General features: G+C 51.3%; 1 pseudogene across 1 annotated transcript in view, besides 3 other annotated features; it reads left to right on the top strand.

Annotated features, from left to right (window-relative positions):
* Nucleotides 965-1,556: an enhancer, noted in NCBI's record as "H3K4me1 hESC enhancer chr11:76432679-76433270 (GRCh37/hg19 assembly coordinates)". NCBI's record gives its function as "activates a minimal SCP1, AML or CMV promoter by ChIP-STARR-seq in naive H9 embryonic stem cells {active_cell/tissue: H9 hESC(naive)}" and the evidence as "EXISTENCE:reporter gene assay evidence [ECO:0000049][PMID:30033119]".
* The window catches only part of GUCY2EP (guanylate cyclase 2E, pseudogene), a 41,624-nt pseudogene continuing 22,103 nt past the window's right edge, over nt 1,402-20,922 (top strand). Inside the window, exons 1-12 of the transcript NR_024042.2 lie at nt 1,402-1,484; nt 3,326-3,693; nt 5,165-5,257; nt 6,293-6,461; nt 6,549-6,645; nt 6,730-6,782; nt 10,447-10,475; nt 10,776-10,924; nt 14,749-14,941; nt 15,506-15,686; nt 18,867-19,030; nt 19,664-19,856. The product of NR_024042.2 is annotated as a guanylate cyclase 2E, pseudogene (transcript). The remainder of the gene's footprint in view (nt 1,485-3,325; nt 3,694-5,164; nt 5,258-6,292; nt 6,462-6,548; nt 6,646-6,729; nt 6,783-10,446; nt 10,476-10,775; nt 10,925-14,748; nt 14,942-15,505; nt 15,687-18,866; nt 19,031-19,663; nt 19,857-20,922) is intronic.
* Nucleotides 12,577-13,078: an enhancer, noted in NCBI's record as "H3K27ac hESC enhancer chr11:76421157-76421658 (GRCh37/hg19 assembly coordinates)". NCBI's record gives its function as "activates a minimal SCP1, AML or CMV promoter by ChIP-STARR-seq in naive H9 embryonic stem cells {active_cell/tissue: H9 hESC(naive)}" and the evidence as "EXISTENCE:reporter gene assay evidence [ECO:0000049][PMID:30033119]".
* Nucleotides 14,727-15,227: an enhancer, noted in NCBI's record as "H3K4me1 hESC enhancer chr11:76419008-76419508 (GRCh37/hg19 assembly coordinates)". NCBI's record gives its function as "activates a minimal SCP1, AML or CMV promoter by ChIP-STARR-seq in primed H9 embryonic stem cells {active_cell/tissue: H9 hESC(primed)}" and the evidence as "EXISTENCE:reporter gene assay evidence [ECO:0000049][PMID:30033119]".

Raw genomic sequence — 20,922 nt, 5'->3', positions numbered from 1 at the left:
CTCCAAGGATCCTTCAGCTCTGATGTTCCAGGTGTCAGTAAAAAGAGGTGATTTTTGCCTTTGGCTAGGAGGCAGGAAGCCAAGCTCTGGTCCAAGTTCAGTCCTAACATTTGATGAGACCTTGGACAAGTCACTGTCCCACCCAGAGCCACAGTTTCCTCCTCTGTAAAAGGGGGTAAAAAGTCCTTGTCAGGGCCTCTGGGCGTGGCTGTGTGTGCCTCTAGTCCCAGCTACTCAGGAGGCTGAGGCAAGAGAATTGCTTACCCGGGAGGTGGAGATTGTGGTAAGCTGAGATCGCGCCATTGCACTCCAGCCTGGGCAACAAGAGCGAAACTCCGTCTCAAGGAAAAAAAGAAAAAAAGAGAGTGGAATAGAAAAAGAGAAGAACAGAATTGAGCAGAATAAACTAAAATAGATAGGAATAACAGTAGTAACTATGAGACCGCATTGCAGGTAGCAAGGGTAAGTGGTTCTGAGAGATGTCCTTTAGGGTACTCAAGTTCTATACAGTCAGTCTCGTGAGTCTACCAAGGTAAAATGTATTTCTTACTGCAGGGCACAGTCTGCCTGACCTTGGCTGTACTCTGGGGACACAGGCAGGATCTGGCTGGGCCCCAGCCGTGAGCAGCCTGAGTCTGGTGGGAGACAGGTGTGTATGCAGGGCACAGGGGAGCCCAGAGGCTGGAGCTGCTGATCTGCTTGGAGATGTGGAGGGCTTCACAGAAGGGGTGACATTGGACAGGGCCTGATGATGAGAAATTGATTTTGGAGTGGAGCTGACGGGGAAAGGCATTCCAGGCAGAGGGCACTCCAGCTTGTGCAAAGGCGTGGAGGTAGCATGCCAGCAGGACCGGGAGAACGTCAACAGTTTGGCTCTGCATGGCCAGAGCCTGGCAGCAGTGGGTGGGGAGACCCTCAGACTCCTTCTCCACCCGTGCTGCGGGGGACTGAGCTCCAGCCACAGTGCTGGCTCTCAGGAGCCAGGAGGCAGAGGGGTGAGGGGCACACTCTCTGGAGTCAGACTGCAGGGAGTCCCACTGCCGCCCCCTCCACCCCATCCCGCACCCATGTGACCTCAGGCAAGTCACTAATCCTCTCTGTGCTATGGTTTCTTCACTAATGGCATGAAGCTGATCCACTGCAGATAGCAGGCTCAGGACCGTGCCTTCACACAGCGGCACAGCTTGCAGCCCGCGCTGGCGTTTCCCGTGAGGTGGCTTAGTCCTGAGCTGTGCGGAGCAGCTCCCCCGCGTGGCCAAATACAGAACAGCGCTTCCAACCCTCAAGAGAAAGGGCGTTTGGGAAGTCGGCCCAGCAGAGCAAATGGGACACAGGCCCAGCTTCTGTTTCCACTCAGTCCTCGTGGGCCTCTCTTTGAGGACCTCCCGCACTATCTAAGACATGGAGGGGGTGGGCTTGTGGCCCCCACAGTACGGGTCCCCAGAGGCTCAGCGGAAGCCAGGGCTGCAGGCCCTGAAGTCCATGTGATGAGGGGTCTTCAGGCTCCAGCAAGGAGACCCTCAGCCTTCCTGAGTTTTCTGCAAAAAGGGAGTGCAGTGAGAACCCAGGCCACATCCCAAACAAGTGGTGGCCCTTTTGTGGCTGCGATTGCCGTGCTGGTCAGGACCCAAGTGGGGAAGACGGAAAAGATGCAAAGGAAATCAAGTGTGGACCCCGACCTTGGCAAGGGCTCCCTTCTGTCCTGGGGCCTGGGGGTGAAATTGGCAGCTTTATTATTCAGGGCTACTTCTCTTACTAAGGTAGAGATGCATGTATCTGTGTCTACTTAGACCTTAAGGATGCCACCCAGGGCCAAGGTTAAGATTACAAGCCGATGATGATAAGCAAAATGCGGTCTATCATACAGTGAGTATTATGCAGCCACGAAAAGGAATGAAGTACTGACGTATGCTGCAATAAGGACGAACCTGGAAAGCATTACTCTAAGTCAAAGAAGCCAGACACAGGCCAGGCACGGTGGCTCACCCCTGTAATCCCAGCATTTTGAGAGGACCGGAGTGGGGGCGGGGTGGGTGGGTGGATCACGAGGTCAGGAGTTCGAGACTAACCTGACCAACGTGGTAAAACCCCATCTCTACTAAAAATACAAAAATTAACCAGAATACAAAAATTAGCCAGGTGTGCTGGCGGGTGCCTGTAATCCCAGCTACTCAGGAGGCTGAGGCAGGAGAATCTCTTGAACCCAGAGGGTGGAGTTTGCAGTGAGCTGAGTTCATGTCACTGCACTCCAGCCTGGGTGACAGAGTGAGACCCTGTCAAAAAAAAAGAAGAAGAAAAAAAAAAAGAAGCCACACACAAAGTACCATGTATTATGTGCATTTGTATGACATGTCCAGAATAGGCAAATCCATAGAGACAAAAAGCAGATTCATGGTTGACTGGAGTTGAGGGAGGGAGGAATGGGGAGCAACTGCTAATGGGTTTATTTCTGGGGTGATAAAAGCGTTCTATAATTCAATGGTGGTGATGGTTACATAACTTGGTGAATATACTAAAACCACTTTATTGTACATTTTTTAAAAGAATGAATTTTATATGTATCTCAATTTAAAAAAAATTCTTTAAAAAAGAAAAAAAAGGATTATAAGCTGGGAGCCAACCTGCCTGGGTTCAAATTCTAGCTGTACCACTGTGGTGGTTATGAGTCCTGAGCAGCTCCCCAACTGCTCCTCTAAAAAAATAGAGATAATGGTCAACATGCTTCTTAGTGCTGTTGCAACATTGAATGACAAAATGTTTGAGAAAGTTCTTTAGGACAACACAGAGAAAGCTGTCGACAGCCAAGTGTGTGGCTCACACCTGTAATCCCAGCTCTCTCAGAGGCCGAAGTGGGAGGATTGCTTGAACCCAGGAATGTGAGTCTGCAGTGAGCCATGATTGCACCACTGCACTCCAGCCTGGGCAACAGAGCAAGACCCTGTATCGGAAAAAGAAAGAAAGAAGAAAACTATCAATACATATTCACAATTGTCAGGGCCAGTGGAGTTGGGTAGGGCAGGACGTTGGTCAAAATGATTGGGCAGACAGGCCGGGAGGGCCATATTAATACAAATCTATCCTCCATTAAAGGGATGTTTTTCATCAGATCAAACTCAGATTTGGTGGCCTTGGCTGTTATTGTTATGGGGGGCAGATTAAAGGGAAATTCTACCTTTGCTAGGCCAGTGGGGATGGGGGTGGGGTGGCAGCAGAGCGGGTGCCCGGGAGTTCCGAGCAGCTCTCCAGGGCTAGAGAACTGTGGGCTTCAGGGCAGGCCACAGTGGAACTGGGCCTGCAAAGGTGACCCTGCCACCTCTGGCCCCAGTTGTGGTGCTGTGGATGCACTCGGCGGTGCTGGGGGGCTTGGAGATGACCACCCTGCTGAGCCGTGTGCCTGGGCCGAGGGCCTGGTGGATGGGAGATTAGTCTTCCTGCCCTATGACATGCTGCTCTTCTCCCTGTCCTACTGCAACCGCTCCTACCTGTCTCTCGGCACTGGTGGACCCCTGCAGGAGGCCTATGATGCAGTGCTCACCATCAGCCAGGAGTCTGGCCCCATAGACAAGGCCTTTGCTGCTGCCCGGCCTGATGGAGAGGCGGCTGCCCACCTTGAGCCAGAGCAGGTAGGTGTGCTCCTTGTGCAGACCCCGAATGCCTTGAGTGGGGGTCCGGGGCAGGGGTGCACGCGGTCAGGTAGGCATGCTCGTCGTGCAGACCCCGAATGCCTTGAGTGGGGGTCCGGGGCAGGGGTGCATGCGGTCAGGTAGGTATGCTCCTCGTGCAGACCCCGAATGCCTTGAGTGGGGGTCCGGGGCAGGGGTGCACACGCTCAGGTAGGTGTGCTCCTCGTGCAGACCCCGAATGCCTTGAGTGGGGGTCCGGGGCAGGGGTGCACGTGCTCAGGCCCATCTCCACCATGGGCACATGGCCTCTTTTTGACAAAGTATCTCTCTGCCTAGTCCCTGGGTGTGGTCAATCGCTTTCTCCTTCTTGTATGTGTATGTGTGTATGTATATGTATATGTATATGTATATGTATATGTATATGTGTACGTGTACGTGTACGTGTACGTGTACGTGTACGTGTACGTGTACGTGTATGTGTATGTGTATGTATATGTGTATGTGTATGTGTATGTATATGTATGTGTATATGTATATGTATATGTGTATGTATATGTATATGTATGTGTATATGTATATGTATATGTGTATGTATATGTATATGTATGTGTATATGTATATGTATATGTGTATGTATATGTATATGTGTATGTATATGTGTATGTATGTGTATATGTATATGTATATGTGTATGTATATGTATATGTATGTGTATATGTATATGTGTATGTATATGTATATGTATGTGTATATGTATATGTATATGTGTATGTGTATGTATATGTATATGTATGTGTATATGTATATGTATATGTGTATGTATATGTATATGTATGTGTATATGTATATGTATATGTGTATGTATATGTATATGTGTATGTATATGTGTATGTCTGCAGTAGTCCCCCTTATCCACTGGGGACATGTTCCCAGACCCCCAGCGGATGCCTGATGCCGTGGATGGTACTAAACTCTATATATGCTGCGTTTCCTATACCTACATACCTATAATAAAGTCTAATTTATAAATTAGGCACGGTAAGAGATTAACAACAATAACTAAATAATAAAATAGAACAATTATAACAATATATTGTAATATGAATTAGTGGATGTGGTCTTTCTGCCTCTTTCAAATTATCTTAATATTTTGAGACCCTGATTGACTGTGGGTAGCTGAAACCATGGAAAGAGAAATTGCAGATAAGGGGGGACTCCCGCATGTCTCTGTTCTTCCCCATATCACTCACCTTTTTGGCCTGCCTTGTCAGTGTTCCTCTGTGTCTCTTCTGCTTCTATTTATCTATCTCCAGCTCTCTCAGTCCCTGAAATTCTCATTTCTGGCCCAGCTGCTCTTTCTCTTATACACATTTCTCCTCTCCTGGCTCTGCATCTCTCTAGCAAATGACAAAGATCAGAAGGGGAAAGTGTTGGGAGCATGGGAGAGTGGGAGAGAGGGGAAGATTTTCTGTAGTCATTGCTGTGATTCTGAAGAGAGTTAGTGGTGGGGGACGCAGCTGCTGGCCTGGCTTGGCTTACAGGACTCAGTGAACTTGGGTCTCCTGGGGATGCCCGTTTCTTGGTGTTAAGAAGACAGCAGTGCCTGGAGGTGGTGACGGATGTGGATGCTGATGGTGGGCCATTCAGGCAGTCATTTATCTGACAGATGTGGACTGAGTCCCTCTCATGCGCCACTACGTCTGGTGTCAGGAAGACAGTGGTGAACAAGACAGACCTGGCCTTTAAGGAGTTTCTATTCTGTTAGGGCGAGACAGGCGATAACCAAATAACCAGATAGCTAAATTCCCATAGTGATAATGCCACCGAGAAAACAGAACAGGATACAATGATAGAGGAGCAGGATGGAGTAGTGGCCAACAAGAGCTAGATGGGCAGGGAAGCCCACTTGGGGGGTGGCACTTGAGCTGAGCTCCAAATAGTAAGGAAGCAGCTAGATGAGCATCTGGATGAAGAGTGACCAGTCAGGGGAAGCAGCAAGTGCAAAGGGCCTGAGGCAGAACGAGCTCCAATTGATGGAGGAAAACGAAGGAAGGAGTGTGGAGTGGCTGAGCTGTCATGGGTGATGAGACAGGAATTTGAGATGAGCTTGGGGCCTGAGCATGTGAGGCTTTGTGGGCCACGAGGAGTCTGAACTTATTGTAAGTAAAATGGGAAACCATCAGTGGGGTTTGAGTAAGAAATGATTTGATTTAAGCCTTTAAAAATCACTTTGGTGGCCTTATGGGGAGAGGCCTGCAGAGGGCTCCTACCCCACGGGGCCTCCCTTCTGTGTGCTCAGCCCCGGCAGTCTACAGGGGGCTTTCCCAGCCTCCGTCTCCCAGGACCCTAGGGCCCCCGGTGCTCTTGTCCGTCCCAGAGCCCCAGCCAGGACTTGTCAAGGCCCTGGCTGCCTCCTGAGAAGGTCCGTTTGAGACTTGAGGAAGAAGCCCATGACCCTGGACGTGCTCCACACCCTGAGCTTCAGGCTCCCCATCTGTATAGTGATGGGGTTGGCCAGAATGACTCCCAGGGGCCCTCCAGCTTTGAAAACAATTCTCCCTGGGGTCTAAATTCCTGTGTGTTCCTGAATCCAAACCATCCCTGAGTCTCAGGCGCATCTGGAAGCGGGCAGCCTTCCAATCCCAGCCCTCTCTGGGCTGCCCCACGAGGACTCTTGGCAACTTGGGAACGTTGCGACTGGGGACCAGCAGATGCATCAGGCCCAGGGGTTCCAGACCCGAGCCCGAGGCAGAGGGCCTGTGTGAAGACAGTGTTCAGTGCCCTCCTGACCCAGCTGGGACTGACAGTGAGACAGAAATGGAAACGGGGAGAGGAAAGGTGACGGCTCTGAGTCAGAGGCCAGACTGAGGCTGGGAGGGGACGTTGGCATCACTCCCACTGCCCTGCCCCTTCTCTTGCCTCCAGTTTGGGCATCCACCAGCTGCAGCTGGTGTGGGGCCCCCACCGGATCCTGCTGACAGCCCAGGAGCTCACCTTCATCCATCCACCCCTGAACAGACAGGTGGGTAGGGCAGGGGCTAAGCTGAGTGGGCGGACAGCAGACAGAGGCCCAGTCTACGCTCCTGACCACGGCTGCCCCCTCCAGAGGCTGCATGTGGATGGTGAATGGAGAAGTGTGGCGGATGGTGGGAGCCTGAGGTCAGTGGCCCAGGGGTCAGCAAAGAGTCTGCCAGCCCCCCGGGAACCCACCAATGTGGCCCTGTACCAAGCGAGGGCCTCTGCCACCCCTATGCCCAGGCCTAGGCAGCTGCAGTCCGTTTGGGAGAAGCCGAGGGAGCCCATAACCTCTTGGGCCTCTGTATGGCCTACTCCTGTTACAGACTGAGAAACTGAGGCCCAGATAGGAGCAGTGCCTTTCCTGGGTCCCTTGGCAAGTTGGCAGCAGGGCTAGGAGTGGAAAGTAGAACCCCAGCTCCTGGCCCAGCATGGTTCATCATCTGACCTGAAGGAACAGCCAGTTCCCAGGCCCTTGGCCCTCAATGCTGCCAGTGCGGCTCACCCCAGGGCCTTTCTTAGGGACCAAGGCCAGCCTAGGTCACCCTCCTGCCTGCTTAGGTAAGGTGAGATCCTGGGTCTCCCAGGCCCTGACATGTGGGGGCAGCACCCAGCCCAGGATAGCCTCGGGCAGAGCCGGGGCCACCAGCTGGCAGGGCGGCTGGGCGGTCAGAGGTGAGCTCAGCAAGATCTCAGGACGCTGAGGATGCCGCCATTTCTCAGGTGCTGTCATTCTCAAGTTCAACAATTCATGGTTGCTATGATTCACCTACACCAAGACTCTCACGGTAGATGAGCCGGGCTAGTTGTTTCTACAGAGGCAACATGAGCTGCTTGCTCCTTCTTTTCTACCTGTCCCCTGAGGGAATTCCATCTTTTTTTCTTTTCTGCTGCAAGGAGGCTTTAATGGTGTTCAAAGAGTGTTTTGTCTGCTTCTCCGAGTTGGCTGACGGGCTGTAGGTGAGGCTGAGAGGCAAAACCCATCAGTGATGGAAGAGAGAAGGCCAAGGTTACAGCTAGCTCTGGGCCAGGCCAAGGCAAGGGCAGAGCCCCCACCTGGGACCCCTCCTCTCCCACCCGCCCCTCTCTCCTCACCATGAATCCCCAGGTGACAGAGCTCCCCACCCAAGCAGTTCACAGGGTTAGGGGTGTCATGAGGGCCTGAGGCCTGCAGGGCAAAGCTGTAGACCAGGGGCGAGCATACTTGATACCCACCATCTCATTAAGCCCCTGAGATGTGGGTGGGTGCTATCATCCTCACTTTACAGATTTGGAACCTGCAGCTCAGAGAACTGAAGTCACCCACCCCAGGTCACAGAGTTGGAAAGTGGTGGTGTCAGGACTGGAACTGGAGTCCATCAGCCAAAGCCCGGCCCTTGGCTCTGCCCGGCTTATAGCAAATGTTTCCGCTCACCAGGCTGTGCCTGGCTCAGAACACACAGAAGGAATGCGTTGATGGGGAAGAAACTGAGCTGAGAGAGGTAGAGGGGTTTTCCTGAGGTCCCACAGCTGAGGAGCAGCAGCAGCTAAACTCTTGCTCTTCCTTGAACAGGGAGACCGGGTGTGGCTGAAGAAGTGTGAAGTGGGCTCAGACCCTGAGCTGCGCCCAAGCTGCCTCAGCCTCCCGAGGAAGGCAGGGCTGTAGAGGGCGCAGAAGGTGGGTGGGGAGTGAGGCTGCTCAGGACACCCTTACTGATCCAGGTTGGTCTCAAAGAGGAAATTATTCTTGCCATCATGATCCTGCCCACTGCCAATGCCTCAATCACAGTGGTTCACTATTGCTGTCACTGTCCCATGCCAGCATCCTTAAAGCCACGTCACCACCCCATAACCCATAATCCCCATAACCACCAGGGCGCAGTGTCCTCCATCAATGCCCTCGCATGGCAACTCATCATGAAGGGACCTCATCCTGCAGCCCCCTCCCTTTACCCATCCTTTCTTTTATTCACTGTTTACTGAGCATCACTTATGTGCCAGGCACTTATGTGCAGTGTTCTGGGCTTTGGGGATACAGAATGGAGAAGAGAGAAAAAGTCCCCTCCCTCAGGGAGATCCTAAGCACCTGTTATCACTAACCACATAAGCATTTTCACCCCCAAGATCATTACCATCCTGAGAGGCACTGAGGGATGGAGACAGAGCATGAGACTTGAGTCAGGAAGATCTGGGTGAAATCTTGCCTCCATGGAACTCTTAGCTTTCCTGTAAAATGGAGCTAGTGATAGCCACCTTCTGGGGGATTATGATTGCAGAGAATGCATGAAATAACTTAGAACTCTTCCTGGCAAGTGGTGTGCTTTTGATACATGGTGAATTTTATTGATATCTCCAATATCACCACAGTCTGAAATAAAGTTCAGAAGGATTAAGTGACTGGAAGTTAAGTTAGGCATTTCCCAGTGGGCATCTTGCAACTATGTGAGTAGATTTTTTTTTTTTTTTTTTTTTGAGACAGGGTCTCGCTCTTTCACCCAGGCTGGAGTGCAGTGGCTGAATCTCAGCTCACTACAACCTCCGGCTCCCGGGCTCAAGCGGTCCTCCCACCTCAGCCTCCCAAGTAGCTGGGATTACGGGTGTGCACCACCACACCCAGCTAATTTTTGTATTTTTAGTAGAGACAGGGTTTCACCATGTTGGCCAGGCTGATCTAGAACTCCTGGCTTCAAGTGATCTGCCATTTATCCACCTATTGACTCATTCACCCATTCACCACCCACCCACCAACCACCCATCTACTCACCCATCCATCCATCCACCCATTCATCCACCCACCCATCCACCCGTTCATCCACCCACCCATCCACCCATCCATCTGCCCACCCACTCACCAACCATGCAAACACCCATCCACCAACCACCCATCCACCTACCCAACAACTCACCCACCCACCAACCACCCATCCACCCACTGACCAATCGCCCACCAACCCATCCATCCACCCAGCCACCCACCCATTCACTCATCCATCCATCCACCCACCCATCTACCCACCAGCCCACCAAGTACCCACTCACCCACCCATTCACCCATCATCCATCCACCCTCCCACCCATCAACCACTCACCCACCCATCTACCTGCCTACCCACCAGCTCCCCACCCACCCATCCATCTATTTATCCATCTACCACCCACCACCATCTATCCATGCATACATTCATCCATCCATCCTCCATCCATCCCTCACCACCCACCCATTCATCCATCTGTCTGTTTTTCCATCCATTCATTCAACATTTCTGATGCCTCTCCATGCTTAGCCTTGTGCTTGGTGCTAAGAGCAGGTGGCCTAGATGTGGATTGCACCTGGTCCAGCCCTCGAACGGCCCCTGAGGGCTGCTAAGGTGCCAATTTCCCTGACAGATGCGGGAGCTGCGGTGTGAGAACGTCGCCACCTGCCTGGGCATTTTCGTGATCTCTGGGGAACCTGCTTCGGAAAGAGGTCCTGCACCTAGACTGGACCTTCAAGGCCTCCCTGCTGCTGGATTTGATCTGCATGAGATCCCTCCCTGGGCCTGGCACTGCAGGGAAGTGGGGATGGCAGGGAGACAGGAGATGCTCAGATTTCCCACAGCTGGGCTCTTTCAGCTTTGTCTAATCCAGGGATATCCAAACTGCATGGCCACGGGTACAGGGAGGCAGGAAGGCTTTCTGGGGCTTGTGGGAATTCCGAGAGAACCAGGTTTCCTCTCATTCGTTACAGATCCAATGGACCCCCATTATGTCCATCTCAGGGCATGAGGTATCTGCACCACCACCATTTCCCTCCTGGCTGCCTCAAGTTCCAAAACTGTGTGGTGGACAGATGCTTTGTGCTCAAGGTCACTGACCATGGTTATGCAGAGCCCCTGGACACTTAGCAGGATCCCCAACCCTGGCCAGCCCCAGAAGGTCAGCTCAGGGATAGGCAGGGGGCTGCCAGTAGGTTTGGGGGCCTCTGTTTAACCAGGTGCTTGTAAGGTGCAGGGAGAGGGAGATCTCCAGTCCTCTGGTATTGGTGACCTTGAGTTGATCGCTTCTCCTCTCTGAACAAGCTGTAGGCTCTTTACCTGTGAATTGGGGAGAATACATGCACCCAGCCTGGCTTGGGTGGTCAGCAGGTAATGGTGGCATGGCCCTGCCCTATGATTGCAGAGCTGCTATGGACAGCTCCTGAGCTGCTGCCGGGGCCTGGGCGCCCTGGGCGGCGCACCCTCACAGGGGACATCTTCAGCACTGGCATCATCCTGCAGGAGGTGCTGACTCGGGCCCACTCTACTGCTCCTCGGGACTTCCAGTGGAAGGTAGGTATCCTCCTCCCCTTTCTTGGCTGTCCCTGGCTAGAGTCTCTGCCTAGTGGGAAATTCTATGGCAATCAGGAAATCTGGGCCTGAAGACCACATAGACACACACACCTAAAGTCTGACCATGAGAACTTGACTTAAACCGGGCAGCCTTTTAAGGGGTGGCCTGCCCCTCCACACCTGTGGGTATTTCTAGTTGGGTGGGACGAGAGACTGAGAAAGAGATAAAACACAGAGACAAAGTATAGAGAAACAATAGTGGGCCCAGGGGACCGGCGATCAGCATACCAAGGACCTGCACCGGCACCGGTCTCTGAGTTCCCTCAGTTTTTATTGATTATTATGTTCATTATTTCAGCAAAAAGGAATGTAGTAGGAGGGCAGGGTGATAATAAGGAGAAGGTCAGCAACAAACATGTGAGCAATGGAATCTATGTCATAATGAAGTTCAAGGGAAGGTACTATGACTGGACATGCACGTAAGCCAGATTTATGTTTCTCTCCACCCAAACATCTCAGTGGAGTAAAGAATAACAAGGCAGCATTACTGCAAACATGTCTCACCTCCCACCATAGGGCGGTTTTTCTCTCATCTCAGAATTGAACAAAGGTACAATCGGGTTTTATACCAAGACATTCAGTTCCCAGAGGCAGGCAGGAGACAGTGGCCTTCCTCTATCTCAACTGCAAGAGGCTTTCCTCTTACTAATCCACCTCAGCACAGACCCTTTACGGATGTCGGGCTGGGGGACGGTCAGGTCTTTCTCATCCCATGAGGCCATATTTCAGACTATCACATGGGGAGAAACCTTGGACAGTACCCAGCTTTCCAGGGCAGAGGTCCCTGCAGCTTTCCGCAGTGCATTGTGCCCCTGGTTTATTGAGACTAGAGAATGGCGATGACTTTTACCAAGTATACTGCTTGTAAACATTTTGTTAACAAGGCACGTCCTGCACAGGCCTAGATCACTTAAACCTTGATTTCATACAACACATGTTTTTGTGAGCTCCAGGTTGGGTCAAAGTGGTTGGGTCAAAGTGGCTGGGGCAAAGCTACAAATTAACAACATCTCAGCAAAGAAATTATTTAAAGTACAGGTCTTTTTCCAAATGGAGTCTCTTATGTCTTCCCTTTCTACATAGACACAGTAACAGTCTGATTTCTCTTTCTTTTCCCTACAGCCTTCAGCAACTCTGCCAGAATAGCAGCTGACCCACTCCAGGGGCTAAGGACGTTGTGCTCTGGGTGAAAATCCCCGCCCCTGCCTTCCTCCCCAGTGTCACTGCCATGCCTGTAGGTGCTCATGCCCCGCCTGCACCTGCCCTCCATGCCCAGCACAGGCTACACAGAGCTCAGCCCTACTCCAGCTGTGTCACTGTCTTACTCTGTGACCTTACACAAACCGCTTACCCTCTCTGAGCCTCAGTGTTGTCATCTATAAATGGGAATCCAGTAACCAATGTGCCAGATCCCCAGCCCCTTGGCCAACGTGGCCAGGCTGCTCAATACCACGGGGCTTCGTTACCTGCCCAGGCAGGCTCCTTCAGAGCATCTCTGTCCTCACACTTCTGGCTCCCCAGGATAATCACTTGCAGCTTCCCCATCGTCACCTGGCCTGTACACACTTTCTCTCTTCCAGCCCCAGTGCCAAGGCCCAACTCCAAAAATGTTTCCTCCCCTCTGTGCTCTCTGTCTGGCTCCCTGGACCCCAGACTTCTCTTTCTGTCATCCTCCTGCTGCCTCTTCCCAGTCCCAGGGACCTGGCCCTCCACAGACACCTGGCACCTCGGCCCACAGTGCAGAGCAGTGACGGTGCCGAGCTCACCATCAGCTCCCACCCCAGTGGATAATCTTTAATTCACAGGAGACCCAGCCCCACTGCCTTTCTCCACCACAGCCCTGTGAATAATGAGCATTCCAGGCCCAAATTTATGAGGTGGAGGAGTGGGAAGAAGGGGGGCCTTATAAGACCATTTGTTCAACACTCCTCGGCTGCCTCCCCATCATCTGCCTCTGAGGAGGGAAGGACTGGCCAGATGGGATCTGCAAGCCATGCCACCAGTGCAAGGCGCTCCAGGCCTGGCTCCATCCAGCTTTGGGTGCAGGGACCCAGGTCTGGAATGCTCTGGCCACCCTTGAGGAGGCTGTCAGCCTAGGGCCCACTGCTTCCTGCTGTGTGCTTTCCTAGGCCTCAGGGAGTACAGGGCTCACGCCACAGGCTCCAGGGAACACCATCCTAAGCCCAGCTCCACACCAACATGCCTCGTGACTTTGAGTAAATCCCTTTTAGGCTCCAAGCCTCAGTGTTCTCATCTGTAAAATGGGAACCATGATGTCTGCCTTCCAGCGCAGCTGTGAGGATTCAGTGAAATGCTGTAGACAGAGGGCCTGGCATGCAGTGGGTCCTCAATAAATATCTGCAGGGTGATGTGAGGAGCGTGCTAAGGGGGGTCCCAGGCTCTCTCCTGACTCTAACATCTCTTTAGGATCCTGTGGGTGGGGGGTCACTTTGCAGTTCCCAAGGCACTTTCATGTGCATGATTCCATTTGACAACCCTGGGAGGTGGCTAATCGCCCCCCTTTTAGAGTTCAGTGAGGCTCAGAGAGTGGAAGGGACTTCTCAGAGGGGAAGCTGTGGACCTGGGATTGGGTGGACATCCCTGGTCCAAGCTCAGTGTTCTAAAATCTCTTGGTGTCATCCGTGGGGCATCCTCTTAGAGCCCAGCCAGATCCCACCAGAGCTGGATGCTCAGCCTCCTCCCCCAGCCCTCAGCACTGTCCATAAATCATGGCTATGCCTGGGGTGTGGACAGCATGCCTGGCGCAGTGAGGGGAGCATGAGACCTAGCCTGGCCTGGGGCAGGGGTTCCCAGCATGTTCACTTATGAAGACTCCATTTTAATGTCAAAAATGGTTAGAGCCTCTTATGCTACTATTTGACTTCTAATATCCACTAACTGAGAACATACCCAATGATAAAATCGGCTGTGAAATCAGCAACACTTTGAAATGGATTTGTTTGTATTCGTTACAGTGCCATCTGCATACCTTTGAAAATCAGTAGTACATGTGTGCATGTGGTGTATGACTGGTTCCATCAGCACACAGTCTTTTGTAAGCACATATGACTTCCCAGATCCCACACTCGGGGGCCCTCAGGGTCTAACGCCTGTAGGCTGGGAACCTCTGGGCAGAGGAGATCGTGCAGGCTGGGTGCAAACCAGGCCCCGTTCTAGTGTCTGCTTTTGACTGGCCCTATGTGGGTACCTGATTTCACTCCCAGGAGCCTCAGTTTCCCTGTCTGTAAAATGGAATGGTGACTCCTGCACTATCCCCAACAAGAAGCCAAAAAGGGATGGGAAGGGGACTGAAACCCAGAAAGAAATTTCTCCTCCCTGGCTCCAAGGGCTCCCACCTCCCTCACTCATGAGAGGAGGATCCCGGCCCTCCTCAGAGGAGATTAACCTACTCTGCCTCATGACAACCCTTCCAAATATGTAGTATGGTTATACCCGTCTTCCAGGTGAGGAAGCTGAGGCTCAGAGAGGCGATGCGCCTTGTGCGGACTGTAAATGGGTCGTCTAAAGTCCCGCTCTGATCTGTGGACTCCAGAGCCTGAGCTCGGTGTCAGCCCCTCTTCCCCCCAGCCTACTTTAGAATCGCTCGGCTCCCCCTGGCTCTCCAGCAGCCCCCCCGAGGCAGGGGTTATTTCCATCAGTTGTTAGGTGGGGAAACTGAGGCTCAGAGTCATAGCAGAACTAGAGCACTGACTTAGCCTGGTGTGGAGACAGGATGACATGTGGCCAGGTTTTCTTGAGGACAGAATCATAATGATGATGATAATGATAAGCAGGCAGTGTCGTTCACACCTGTGGGGAACCGGCACGCCAGTGTCTGCGTGGCAAGGCTGGAGGAAAGAGCTGCGCTGTCAAGGTTTCAAGATCATTGGTGGGCATTGTTGGCAACAGAGCAGCGGCAGTTGTTGCGGGGCCTGAGGGTGGGGGAGAGTCTGCCAGGTGCTAACATCCGTCGTCTTCCACCTCAGCACTCCTCTCAAGAAGGCAGTTTATTTGAGACCAGCCTGATTAACATGGAGAAACCCCATCTCTATGAAAAATACAAAATTATTTGGGCGTGGTGGTGCATGCCTGGAGGCTGAGGCAGGAGAATCGCTTGAACCTGGGAGGCAGAGGTTGTGGTGAGCTGGGATCGCGACATTAAAAAAAAAAAAAGAACAGAAAAAAAAAAGAAAAAAGAAGGCAGTTTATATGCTCATTTCACAGATCGGGAGACTAAGGCTCAGAGAGGTCATTGTCTTCTCCACCATCCCATAGTATTGTGGTGGCAGATCCAGAATTCAAAACCAGCTCGCGGCTCTCCTGGCCCCCAGTTTGAGACCCTTTCCTTGGCCACACCCAGGGTAGACCCAGGAGAACAATAATGCCACATCCACTGGCCAGCCATACCCTGGAAACAGGAGCTGAGGAATATCCTCAGGCCCAGAACCTGGCACCGCCATAAGCCTACTCTGCCCACGCTCTCAGGATCCGAGGCCAGGCTCCTTTCATGACCTTTCCCAGGACCCCAGGCCCGCCCCATGGTGTTGGTTGCCGAAATCATCAGGAGGGTGGCATCTCCCCCTCCTCTGTGCCGGCCGCTGGTGACCCCTGATCACGGGCCGCCTGAGTGCGTTGGCTGATGAAGAAGTGCTGGGACGAGGCTCCAGAGGACAGACCTAGCATGGACCAGATCTACAGCCAGGTGAGTGCTCCCCAGAGGAGCAGGTGCTCACAAAAAATGGCCCATTCGTTCAGCTCACTTAGCTCAATGCAAGCCCTGTGAGTTCCCTGGGACCTGGAAAGCCATGCAGTAAGGGGCAACCACCCAGCACTGTCACCCCTGAGGTCCACCTTTTAAGGAGAACTTTCTTAGGACCACAGGTTCCAGGGACGTTTGTCCCATGCCTTCCTGAGTGTCAAGCCCCATGCTGAGGGCCATGCTCCCCTCCTTTCATCCTCGCCACAGCCCTCTGAAGAAACAGTGTTAGTTTCTTGGCTTCGTGGGAGAGAAATGAGGCCTGGAGAGGTGGGGGGACTTGCCCAAGGTAACTGAGCAAGTGAAAGATGGGGCTGGAGTCCAACCCAGGTCTGTCTGTCTTTCTGCAGAGCTGTACCAGGAACCCTGCCTTGTACCAGGCCTTCTGGCACTAGAGGAGAGAGGCCACTGTGGCTGTGGAGACAGTACTACTTCCTGAGTCAGTGAGGGGAAAATGTGAGGGGCCCTGGGGCCCCCCAGGACTGCCTTGGGGATTTCAGTGGGAGGGGCAAGGCAAGTCTGTGCAAGCTGGCAGGGCAGCAGTGGAGTATGTGAACATGACGAAGCTGGCCGATGGCTTCCACGGGGCCAACCCATCAGACCCAAGGGAACAGTGCCTCCCCTCCCCGTCCTCCACACCCCAGCCATGGTGGAGAGTTGCCAAGGAGTGGTTCAGGGAACAATAAAGGGGTTAGGACAGGTGATGAGAGGGAGAGAGGCAGCAAGGCAGTCCAAGGAGACGCACACAGGTGTCCTTTGAGAAGCCCTGCCCATCCCCTCTCTTCCCACAACCCCTCCCCACTTAGCTCTGGCATCAGGGGTGGTGCCCCCCTCCACAGATGAGAAATCTAGAGCTCAGAGTAAATGACCTCTAAACAGTCACCATAATGGTGGGTAGCAGAGCTAGGGTGAGCAACCAGTTTCTAAAGCACAAGCTTGGAATCTTTCCAGGGGATCGGAGGTTGCCATGGCCAGTGAGGTGGGGAAGGGCTCTTGCCTTGAGTGAGGGGTGACTGTGGGATTCTTGCCCAAGATTCCTGGCCAAGGCCCCATGGCAAAGAAGGCTGAGATGGGCACACATGAATTCCACCTGAAGAAGGGGGGAATGGCATCACACTGTGGGGAGGTGAGGGGTCAGATGCCTGGATTCACATCTATGTGAGAATCCAGTGGATAATCATCCCACTTACCCACTGTTTGACCTTGGACAAGTTAATGGTCCTCTTGGGCCTCAGCCTCCCTGTATGTTTCCTGGAAAGATAACTAACCCTGGCCTAACTCTCCAGATAGGTGTGACCATCCAGTGAGATAACTAATTTTTTTTAAATGTAGCTCTTTGAGAAGGAGAGAGTGAGTAAGGTACAAGAGAAAGAACACTGACATTAAAGTCAAAAGGCCTGGGTTTCGGGAGGCAGAAGTTGTGGTGAGCCGAGATTGCGCCATTGCACTCCAGCCTGGATAACAAGAGCGAAACTCTGCCTCGAAAAAAAAAAAAAAAAGGCCTGGGTTTATATTCATTTCACATTGTTCTAGGAGTAGTAGCCAATGCAATTAGATGAGAAAATTAATTTTGGAAAGGAAGAAGAAATATACATAATTCCAAATGATAAAATAATTCAGTGGGGTGCCTGGTGATAAAATTAATATAAAAGACTTTAGTTTGAAACTCAGATCCACCACTGTGTGCTCCTTGGCAAGTTATTCCACCTCTCAGATCCTTTGTCTCTTCATTTATGAAATGGTGACCTTCCATGCAGAGGTGACCTTGGAGTTGGCTTCATGTCCTTGTTGGTGTCTCAAGGTCAGCAGCTGTCATGCTCACCCTGTAAAGCTTTTGTTGGACAATACAAAATAGGTGCATTTCAGGGGCTGCTGCCACTCCCTACCTTGCAGACATTTGGCTGAGAGATGTGGCATTAATGGAGGTTGGATGTGCATACCTACACACACACACAACACACACACACACGTGCACACGCACACACGCACACACTCTTACACGTTCAAGATGCTGGATTTTGGCAAGCATGGACCCCTTCACTTTGACCATCATTGATTTGCTTCTCTTACTGACTGCACTCTGGGAAGGTGCAAACCACACTGGGTAAGGTTCTAGTAAGTCTTCCTAGGAAAACTGCTGCCAGATGTCCTGTAAGGTTGTTGTTGAAGATGTAGTTTATGATCACACATAAGGGTTCTCATACAAAGAACTAAGAGGCTTTTCTCTTTGCTTGGCACTAGGAGTAGTTGTATTTCTTTTGAGCAATTAGTTTAATGTTTCATTGTCTTATGGACCCCATGGATTGTGTAATCTATATTTCCCTCTTTGCTTTGTTGCTAGGAAGCTCATATCCAAAATGGTGACCAAATTCTAGCATGGATTTTGCATACAGATTTCACTCCTAGATTTACCTTTTTTTAAAAAAAGGCTTTACTCTCCTTTGGTCCTAATATCCTCACACGTTTATTATTTTATTGTGTGGTACTGCTTTTATTCTTCTTCATCATTAAAATTTCGGAGGAACAAAGTAGAAATAGAGACAGATTATACGTATAAATAATCTACATATATTCTTTCTATCTATCCATCCATCCATCATCCACCTACCCTTCCATCTGTCCATCCATCCATCCATCCATCCAACCATCTGTTCATCCATCCATCCATCCATCCATCCATCTGTCTGTCCATCTGTCCAACCATCCATCTGTTTGTCTATTATCTATCTATCTATCTATCTATCATCTATCTATCTATCTATCTGTCTGTCTGTCTGTCTATCTTTGAGAAGAACAAAGAATCTCACAGCGTTGTTGTGAGACCCAGTGCAATAGGATTGTGTTTGTTAACCATAATGCTGTGCTGGGTACAGGCTCCTTTGCAAAGTCCTCTTGCTGCCTGCCCACCCCACACAGAATTAACCCGTTAATCTGGCACAAAGCTGACTGCACTTTTCCCTTGTCAGAGCCACCATCCCCCTGTAATTTACATATCTATTCCCCACAACAATGCAGCTCCTTCAAGCGGGGATTCTGTTTGGTGCATTTCTGTGGCCCCAGACTCCCAGCTGAGGACCAGGTGTGCTGACCTTCATGGATGACTTGGCATTTTTGTTCCATTTTCAGTTCAAAAGCATCAACCAAGGCAAGAGGACCAGTGTTGCTGACTCCATGCTGTGGTTGCTGGAGAAATATTCCCAGAACCTGGAGGACCTGATTCAGGAGCAGACTGAGGAACTGGAGCTGAAGAGAGAGAAGACAGAAAGGCTGCTCTGTCAGATGATTCCCCCGTGAGTGGCCCCTGGACTTGAGTGTGCCTCTAGCCTTAGCTCTAAGCACAGGGCCTGGAATATAGTGGGTGCTCAGCAGATCTGGATTCCATGAATTTATTCAATTCACTCATCCATGTTTATGTATCTAACATTTTTCTTATGCAGCACATTATTTTGTTTAGTTAGTTAGTTTAGTTAGTTTTGTTTATTACTATTATTTTAGATACAGGGTCTCACTATGTTGCCCAGGCTGGCCTCAAACTCCTGGCCTTAAGTGATTCTCCTTCCTCAGCCTCCCAAAGTGCTGGGATTATAGGCGTGAGCCACTGCACATGGCTTATACAACATATTTTTATAGAGCCCTCACCATGTGCCAGGTACTCTGTTGGGCATGTGAGTAGAATTTCTGCTCTCTCACATCCTTGGGAGCAAGGAGCTGGGCACAATGCTTCCCCCACCCCAATATCACTTCAGAGGAAGTCATGTCCAGAGAGGGCAAGTATTCACTCCAGGGCAGTCAGCACTGCAGCAGACTTGAACCAGATCTGCTGATGCTCAACACAGTTTCCTCTCAAATATCCCTTCCTAGCCTCCAAACTGTCAAAAATAGACCCTCATACCTTATGTGTCTGGCCCCTCCCATCCCTTCAGGTCTGTGGCTGAAGCTCGGAAAATGGGGGCAACTGTGGAACCAGGGTATTTTGACCAGGTTACCATATACTTCAGTGACATTGTGGGTTTCACCATCATCTCAGCCCTGAGTGAACCCATTGAGGCGGTGGGCTTGCTCAACGATCTCTACATGCTGTTTGATGCTGTTCTGGGCAGCCATGACCTGTATAAGGTGAGAATACCAGGAGGCTGGCATTCCATTCCTCCCTTTACTACTGTGCCTTGATGGTACAATTACTTCCATTCATTTATTTATGTATTTATATCAGCTAGCTATTGCTGTATAATAAATACCCCCAAACTCAATAGGGTAAAATGATAAGCATTTATTATTGTTCACAAACCTATGGGGCCACCAGAAAGTTCTTCTGGACACACTCATACATCTGTGGTCAGCCATGGGTGAGGTAGCTGCTCTGCTGATCTCAGTTGGGTTCTCTCATGTCTCTGGAGCCTTGTGGAACTCAATTCTGTTCCACAGTCTATCTTCCTCCAGCAGGCTAGTCCGGGATTGTTTACATGATGTGGCAGGGTTCTGAGAGAGAGGACAGAAGTACACAAGGCTCTTGAGATCTAATCTGGGATCAGGCATATTACAATTTCTGATGTATTCTATTGGTCAAAATGAAAGACTAGCTCAGATTCAAGAGCTGAGGAAACAAAGTCCACCTCTTGATGGAAGAAGCTTCAGAGTCCCATTGCAATGGGGTGAACATAGAGGGGGTGGAGGATATGGGCCATTTTGCATTTAATGGACCACAGTGTTTACTTGTCCATTGTCCATCTATCCATCCCTTTACAATCTTATCAGCAGGCTCTTCTGTGCCTGACCCTGTGCTGGGCATGAGCAGACAGATGACTCAGCTCCCAATCCTATGCTCAAGGAGCTCTCAGTCCTGTAGGTAAAAGATAATGACCCGCAGTGAAAGTAATAATCCTGGGAGGCAGAGGAGGCTGAGAGGGCCCCAACCCAGCTAGGGGTAGATGTGTAAAGAGCAGGGAAGACTTCCTGGAAGAGGTGCTGTCTTCCCAGCATTGTCCCGTCTGGGAGTGGCAGTCCTAAGCAGGCAATGGGGGAAAAATATGCTAAAGCCTGAGGCTTCAGAGGGCCTGGTGAGTGTGGCAATGCTGAATAAGCTGGGCTGGCTGGACAGGAATGGGCCAGGAGTGGGGAGTTGGGGGCACTGGAGAGAACAGCAGAGGCCTCAGCAGGGCCTTCAAACCCCTCCCTGTGCACC

Source organism: Homo sapiens, chromosome 11 (assembly GCF_000001405.40).
Source record: "Homo sapiens chromosome 11, GRCh38.p14 Primary Assembly".
Taxonomy (NCBI): domain Eukaryota; kingdom Metazoa; phylum Chordata; class Mammalia; order Primates; family Hominidae; genus Homo; species Homo sapiens.
The sequence above is the reverse complement of the archived record's forward strand: the minus strand, read 5'-3'. Positions and strand labels throughout refer to the sequence as shown.